Source organism: Homo sapiens, chromosome 11, assembly GCF_000001405.40.
Source record: "Homo sapiens chromosome 11, GRCh38.p14 Primary Assembly".
NCBI classification, from domain to species: Eukaryota; Metazoa; Chordata; class Mammalia; order Primates; family Hominidae; genus Homo; species Homo sapiens.
In genome coordinates, this window is record NC_000011.10 from 41,972,841 (window position 1) to 41,980,821 (window position 7,981).

The 7,981-nt window shown below is 34.4% G+C and overlaps 1 annotated feature.

Annotated features, from left to right (window-relative positions):
- Positions 5,492–6,691: an enhancer, noted in NCBI's record as "MED14-independent group 3 enhancer chr11:41999882-42001081 (GRCh37/hg19 assembly coordinates)". NCBI's record gives its function as "activates an origin of replication core promoter dependent on BRD2, BRD4, P300/CBP and CDK7 cofactors, and independent of MED14, by STARR-seq in HCT116 cells {active_cell/tissue: HCT116}" and the evidence as "EXISTENCE:reporter gene assay evidence [ECO:0000049][PMID:35650434]".

Genomic DNA, 7,981 nt, shown 5'->3' on the forward strand with positions numbered 1-7,981 from the left:
CAACAATGTCTTAGATAAGGTAAAAGTAGTACAGCTAATGAGAAAATATTGGTAAATTGGGCTTTATGAAAATCTGTTGTTCTTCAAAATACAACTTTATGAAACTAAAAGGCATTTTATAGACTGGAGAGAAAATATTTTTAATCCATTTATCTAACAGTGAGTTTTATTCAAAATATTTAAAGAACTCCTACCACTATAGTAAGATGACAAAACTGAATTAAAATGAAAAAAAGCACAAAATAAGAAATACAGAAGACCAGTTAACACATGTAAAAATGCTAACCCTCATTAGTCATTAGATAAATCCGTGTTAAACTCACAATTAGAAACAGCATATACTTCCACTGAAATGGCTAAAATTGAAAAAGAAGGACAATACCAATTGTTGGGAAGGATGTTGAACAACTGGAGGAATTATCAGTAGTAGCTAGTAGGAAAGAAAATAATTCATATACTAACCCACAATCCAGTAATTCCACTCTCAGATATATGAGAAATAAAAACATATGCTCACAAAACAAATTGTATCCAAATTCTTATAGAATTTTTATCCATAATAGATCTAAACTAGAAAGAAAGCCTAATGTCTACCAAGAGATGAATAAATACATTATAATATACCATGTAATAATATTTATAAATTTTTTAAAAAACGGATACATGTGGCAACATGAGTGCTACTCAAAAAATTTATTCTGAGAAGGACAATACAAAAGATTACATACAGCATAATTCCACACATGAAATTCTAGAACAGTCAAAACTAGTCTATAGTGGTGGAAAGAAGACAATTGGTCATCTTAGGCCAGGATGTAGCGGATAGACTACAAAGATTATAAGAAAAGTGTGGGAGGGTGATAGAAATATTCTGTATATTGTTTTTGGTGGTGGCTACAGTGTCTCAGCACTTGAGCTTCACATTGGCATCTCTTTGTCTTAGTCATTTGGTACTTCCCATTGTTTAGATATGCTTTACTTACTCTCCTCAGGAGGGCCTTCTGTTTGTCTGCCTGGAATTCTCTTGATCACCTCCCTCACCCTGCCTTTGGTTGGTTACCTCTTACTCTTCAATTTACTATTTCAGATCAAGTACACTTCTAGAAAGTCTTTCATGTCCCCTTGGATTGGGTCGACTACCTGTATTTTACACTTTTTTTTTTTATTTTACAACCAACAATATTTAATATTTCCACATTGAAGAATAGATGTGATAATTAAATCTTTTATAAGGCTTTAAAAAGACATGAAACATAAACCTAATTATACATAAAAGAAAATAATTTTAAACAAGAGCTTATTGTGATGACATTACTCATAACTTTTACCTTTAAAACCTTTTCTTGGGTAGCTATTCAAAAGTAAAGACCGCAAATTTTGTTGCTCAGATTTCTTATGTTTTGTTTATTTAAGCTCTTTAGTTATTGACCAGATGTGTCATTAATTCATTTGGAGCATTACTATTATCAGTAAAATTTGATTTTTTTTTCCCTCAGTCATAGGTAAATCAGCTCCGCCTGGAATTTCTTTTTTTTTTAATTTATTATTATTTTACTTTAAGTTTTAGGGTACATGTGCACAATGTACAGGTTAGTTACATATGTATACATGTGCCATGCTGGTGCGCTGCACCCACTAACTCTTCATCTAGCATTAGGTATATCTCCCAATGCTATCCCTCTCCCCTCCCCCCACCCCACAACAGTCCCCAGAGTGTGATGTTCCCCTTCCTGTGTCCATGTGTTCTCATTGTTCAATTCCCACCTATGAGTGAGAATATGCGGTATTTGGTTTTTTGTTCTTGCGATAGTTTACTGAGAATGATGATTTCCAATTTCATCCATGTCCCCACAAAGGACGTGAACTCAATCATTTTTTATGGCTGCATAGTATTCCATGGTGTATATGTGCCACATTTTAGAAAGTCTTTCATGTCCCCTTGGATTGGGTCGACTACCTGTATTTTACACTTTCATAGGACCATACAATAAAAGTGCGAATCCTACGAAGTCAGTGGGTTGACATTAAAAAAGAAACATCACACTCTACTAGGCTTTGAATCACTGAACTGGACGGTGTCCCCAAAGTCCTTTTAGTTCTAAAATGCTACGACTGCATGCGTACATTGAATTACTCATACTTGATTTTGGTGAGAGATCTACAAGGCAAGAAACCAAATTTCAAAAGAATTACTACAACTCCTTAATATATCTACACTAATGCAAGTATCATATGCAATATTTATTTGTTTCTTCTTGTCATCATTCTTATGTTTCAGAGCAATAATGTCATCTGGAACCTGTGAAGTGTTTGTGCTAGTGATTTTGTATCAAAGGGAACCAACACAATTGAATTAAGGTTAAAAATTCCTTTTTCCTCAGGTTATTTTCTTAAAGTAATAAAATAGTCTTGGTTTGGAGCTTGCTATTATATGTACCCAACAAATATTTGCTGTCCCGAAATATTGAAGATGTTAATACACTAATTATATCTTTCATTTTCCCTATTTATAAAATAGGAAAATATTACCTATACTATTAGCAGTATATTACCTATATTGTTACTTATGTTACTAAAATATTGTCTACTATTATTAGAAAAATGTTAATTACCTGACACAAAAGCATTCAATAAACTGTGATTATGAAAGAATCCAGCAGTAGAGAAAAAAGGTATATATATATATTTTTTGTTTATGGAAGCCTGTTCCCATCTGCTATCCAATCATTAGGTGCCAGGCACTTTAATCAGTGTGCTTCAGGCTGCCCTGCCTGACCAGGTGCCTGATTATTTAAAATGGAGACACCTGCCGGGTACAGTGGCTCACGCCTCTAATCCCAGCACTTTGGGAGGCCAAGGCGGTTGGATCACCTTAGGTCAGGAGTTCAAGACCAGCCTGACTAACGTGGTGAAACCCCATCTCTACTAATAATACAAAAATTCGTCAGGCATGGTGGCATGGGCCTGTAATGTCAGCTACTCGGGAGGCTGAGGCAGGAGAATTGCTTGAACCCAGAAGGCAGAGGTTGCGGTGAGCCAAGATTGTGCCATTGCACTCCAGCCTGGTCAACAAGAGCAAAAAACTCCATCTCAAAATATATGTATATAATATTATATATATATACATTTATATATATAAATATATACATTTATATATAAATATATACATTTATATATACATATATACATATATATAAATATATATATTTATACATAAATATATATATGTATATATAATGGAGACACCTACCTTTGTAGGAGTCAGAGGTTGTCACAGCTGGGGGACTGCAGAATAGGCCTAGGCAAAACTAAATAGTTACTACGTTGGGGCTAGAACTCAGCCAGGTTAATACTGTATTAATTATGGTTTTTTAAATGATTAAAAGAATTTTGTTTGTGTTTCTGTTTCTCATTTCACAAATAGACTTACAACCATTGTACATTTATGATCTAACCATATCTCAAGTCATTTTCATTTTAGGATGAAAAGTCCAGAATTATTTACATTTCCTCCTGGGTCAGTGAAATTTTGAAAGTCCATTACAAAATGTCAAACTTTGGAATGATTATTTCATTTAAAAATGATTTTTATTTATTACCATTAACAAATGTTCTTTTCGTTACACAACTTATACTGGTTCAGTTTTGAGTGATGCCTTTTTTACAATCAGCTCTCAATCTATAAACTATAAATAATAAATGGAGAAGATCAGGTTTTCTTCTCCAAACAAAAGAGAACAAAATTATGCATTCATTCTACTTTAACCTGAAAAAGAAATTAAGGTAAGGATTGAAGTAAAAATGCTAACTTGAGACTGATTTATTCAGGGGAAGATTGGAGGATTTTAGAGTGGAGGGAGGGAGAAAGAGACAGAGAAAAACAAAGAGGCAGAAACAGAGAAGGTACTTTTATTTCATGAGTGGGAATGATAAACTCCATCTTTTAGTGGCATTCTATCTATTAAATTTTTTACAGTGCATGCACCCTGTATTGATTAGTGAATCATCAGCCCCTACTTTTAGATCCACCTGAAATTCTTGCATTTTATTAATATATTATAGTCATTTGTCATCTGTGAATTCTTGTAAACCCATTCCTCAGGAGAAATTGGCAAGTAACCTCTATAGGTATATTATAAGATCATCCTACCCAGGCAGAACAAATACCCTAACAGGTGGTTTTAGCTTCCCTACTAACTTTGTTTTTTTGTATACTGATGCCTAATGTAAAATAACAATGTTAGATTTGGCTGCAATTTTGGAACTTTAAAAGCAAACCTAAGCATTTCACTTTTCCAGATAAGATGGACAGTGATAATTACTATAATCAATACATCAAAATGATTGCTAAGCATTAAAAAAAGTCACTGATCTGGAAGTGTTAGAGAAAATAACTTTCTAAAGTGTGTGAACTGATCCAAAAGAATAAACTACTTACAAGCAGAAATAATTCAAACCTTCATCATTCTTAGCTAACCAAACTGAACTTCTGATAGCAGGCTTAAACATCAACAATTCATGTATTTTCCCCCAAACCACTTTGTTTTATACATTTCTAACACAGAAATAAATTGAAAGTGTAGCAAACTACATACTCACACTCTCTATTTAACAATTGCTAAGATCTTCTCTCTGTCTCTCTGTGTATGTATGTCTTTCTCTTTTTCTCTCTTTTTATACACACATATTTTTGAAAACATATAATTATCATGACACTTCATGCTTAATAACTTCTAATTCCTAACAGTAAGGAAATTTTATTACATAATCACAAAAATGGTACCATCATTAAGAAGGCGCCCAAGCACTTGTTGATCTCTAGTTGATATCATCAAATCTCTAGTTGATACCTAGATTTTTGCCAATTGTCCAGCAAGTGTTTTCCATGGTCTACTTTCTTATTTTCATTGTTTTAACCCAGGAAAATAACAAAAAAGTTCACACTTTATGTTTTGACCATTTTGTCCCTTTCATTTCCTTAGACTAGCTTTCCATCACCCCTTCCTTTTTCAAGAGTCCACGCCAGCTGAAATAAAGAATGTCTAACATTCAGGGCTGCTCTGACTCTTTTCTTAGGATTGCATGTATTTTGCCTTTCTCTCTCTCTCTCTCTCTCTGTATATATATATTTAGGTCTAAGGACTAGACGAGTTTTGAGATAAATATGTTTGGGGAGAGTACTTGCCTCACAAGTGATATTAGAAAACTTACATGAAAGTACAACAGGAGACAAATATTGTTACAAGATGTTGATTTTTAATCCCAAGCTGTTAATATTTATCAGTTGGTCCAGGGGTACATTGATTAGTATTGTATTGTTGCTTAACAATATTGCCACAAATTTAGTAGATTTAAACAGCACTCACTTATTATCTTCCATTTCCTCTGGATCAAGAGTCCAAGCATGGTTAGCTTGGTCCTCATCTTCAGAATTTCACATGGAGAAATCAAGACAGGCTATGGTCTCATCTGAAAGTCAGTTGGGAAAGGAGCCACTTTCAAGCCCATGTGGTTATTTGCAGCATTGAGCTTCTTTTGGGCTTCCAGATTTACGGCCTCAGTGCCTTGGCCTAGTTACTGGACACAGCTCTCAATTACTTACCAAGCCACATGGCCTTTAATAGGTCTGTTCAAACCACGGCAACTGTGGCCTCAAAGCCAGCAAGGGAAAGAGTTGCTCGTACAACAGATATTACAATGTCATATAACCTAGTAAAATACAGGTAATAGTGTACATCCTGTTACTTTTGCCACATTCTGCTTGTTAAGAAGCAAGCTAATAGTTCTGTCCACACTCAAGGGGAGATTGTGCAAGGACATGAGCACCAAGAAGCAAGGATCATGGGAGTCACCTTAGAATCTGCCCACCACAAGGTAACACTAATCCTTCTCCTATGTAAAGATAAATTTCCATGGTGCTTTGACACCATGTGAATAATTTAATAATTTAAAAAATCATTAATATTGAATTAAGGCTAAATTTGAATTGGAAATGTTTGTGAGTCCAGATTTTTGTAGATATATTATGTAAAGTAGAATTTCGTAGAAATATTATCTATATAGATGCTCCTCAACTTACAATGGGGTTATGGCCTCATAAACATGCATTTAATACCCTTGTTAGATATGAGTGCTAAATTTCTCTTCAAAGAATCAATATGTCAGTATGTTAAATTCTTTGCCTTCTAGTTTTAAACTTCCTTGTAAATCAACCTTTTTCGATTACCTGCTCCACCCTAACTCATTCCAATCACCTGCTCCACCCTGACTCATTCTCCATCCTGACTCATTCTCCACCCTGACTCATTCCAATTACCTGCTCATTCTGCACCCTGACTCATTCCAATTTCCTGCTCTGCCATAACCATTTTTCCCACCAAATCACTCACCCTGTCACTCTCTTTAAATTAGACAATTGGAATTAGTTTAGCCTATGCTGGCTAACCCTAGACGATAGGGGAATGGCACAGCAGCAGGGGCCACATGTGTCAGGGATAAGAACCCGTTCCCCTCCCTTGTCCAAGTGTGCACTCACCATTGCTCCATCTGTAAGGGTGCACCCTTCTATAGAAGTACATTGCCTTGCTGAGAATTAAAAAGAAAATTTTATATTTGAGTGCTATTTCTTTTGCAGCACTGAAACTTTATTTATAACACACTTAACCTACTGAATATCATAATTTAGCCTAGCCTACCTTAAATGTGCCCAGAACACTTACATGAGTGCATAATTAGGCAACATCATCTAACACAAAGCCTATTTTATGATAAAGTGTTGACTGTCTTATGTAATTTATTAAATACTGTAGTGAAAGTTAAAAACAGAATGGTTGTATAGGTACTCAAAATACAGTTTCTACTGAATATGTATTGCTTTAGCACCACCACAAATTCAGTGATCATTGGTTTGTGGTGTGTGTATCTGTGTATTTGCAATCTGATCTACCAGATATTCCCTATTCAAACTTTAAAGAGCTTTTTAAAATATCTTTTGGGCCAAGCATGATGGCTCACACCTATAATCCCAGCACACTGGGAGGCCTAGGCGGGTGGATCACGGGTTCATCAGGAGTTCGAGACCAGCCTGGCCAACATGGTGAAACCCTGTCTCTACTAAAAATACAAAAAGTAGCCGGGCATAGTGGTGTGTGTGCCTGTAGTCCCAGCTATTTGGGAGGCTGAGGCAGGAGAATCACTTGAACCCAGGATGCAGAGGTTGCAGTGAGCCAAGATTGTGCCACTGCACTCTAGCCTGGAAACAGAACAAGACTCCATCTCAAAAAAAAAAAAAAAAAAAAAAAAACTTTTGTTATTTTATGTTTTGTATTCTTTCCACTGTTCTTAATGGTATAAAAATATTAAATTATTTTCTCAATTTTACGACATACATAAAAAACTCAAATTACAAAATAAAAGTTGCAACTGGCAATAATCCTAGTAAGTAAAATCTAAATTCTTTTCAGACTCTTTTTTTTTTTGCCCTTACGAAATATCTTATTAAGGATATATAGTCAGAGTCGTGTTTCACAGGTTCTGAAATGATTGCTGCCCTTATGTATTTATGTTGTCATTGTATGTTTATATGTTGCTATTTGGATTCAATATTAAGGCTTACTATATTTTCTTTAAAATTTTATTTTTATGTTTTGATTATGTGAAATATTTACTTGTTTCAAAGGTCAACAGTACTTTAAATTCCAAATAATTCTAGTCTCAGCTCCTTCCTATCCATTTTACTCACACCCATCCCTATATAAGCTGTTTTCATTTATTACTTTATTGTTTATTAGGCCAAAATAGATATATGCATATATTTTCTATTTTTATTTTCTGTCTTTTCATACATAAAAGTCACATATTATTATATTGCTCTGAAGCTTTTTTATTTCTTTTTTTACTTTATAATATATCATGAGATTATCTCCATATACTTCATAGAGATTTTCCTTAGTGTTTGAAAGTTGTGCAGTATTGCATTGTG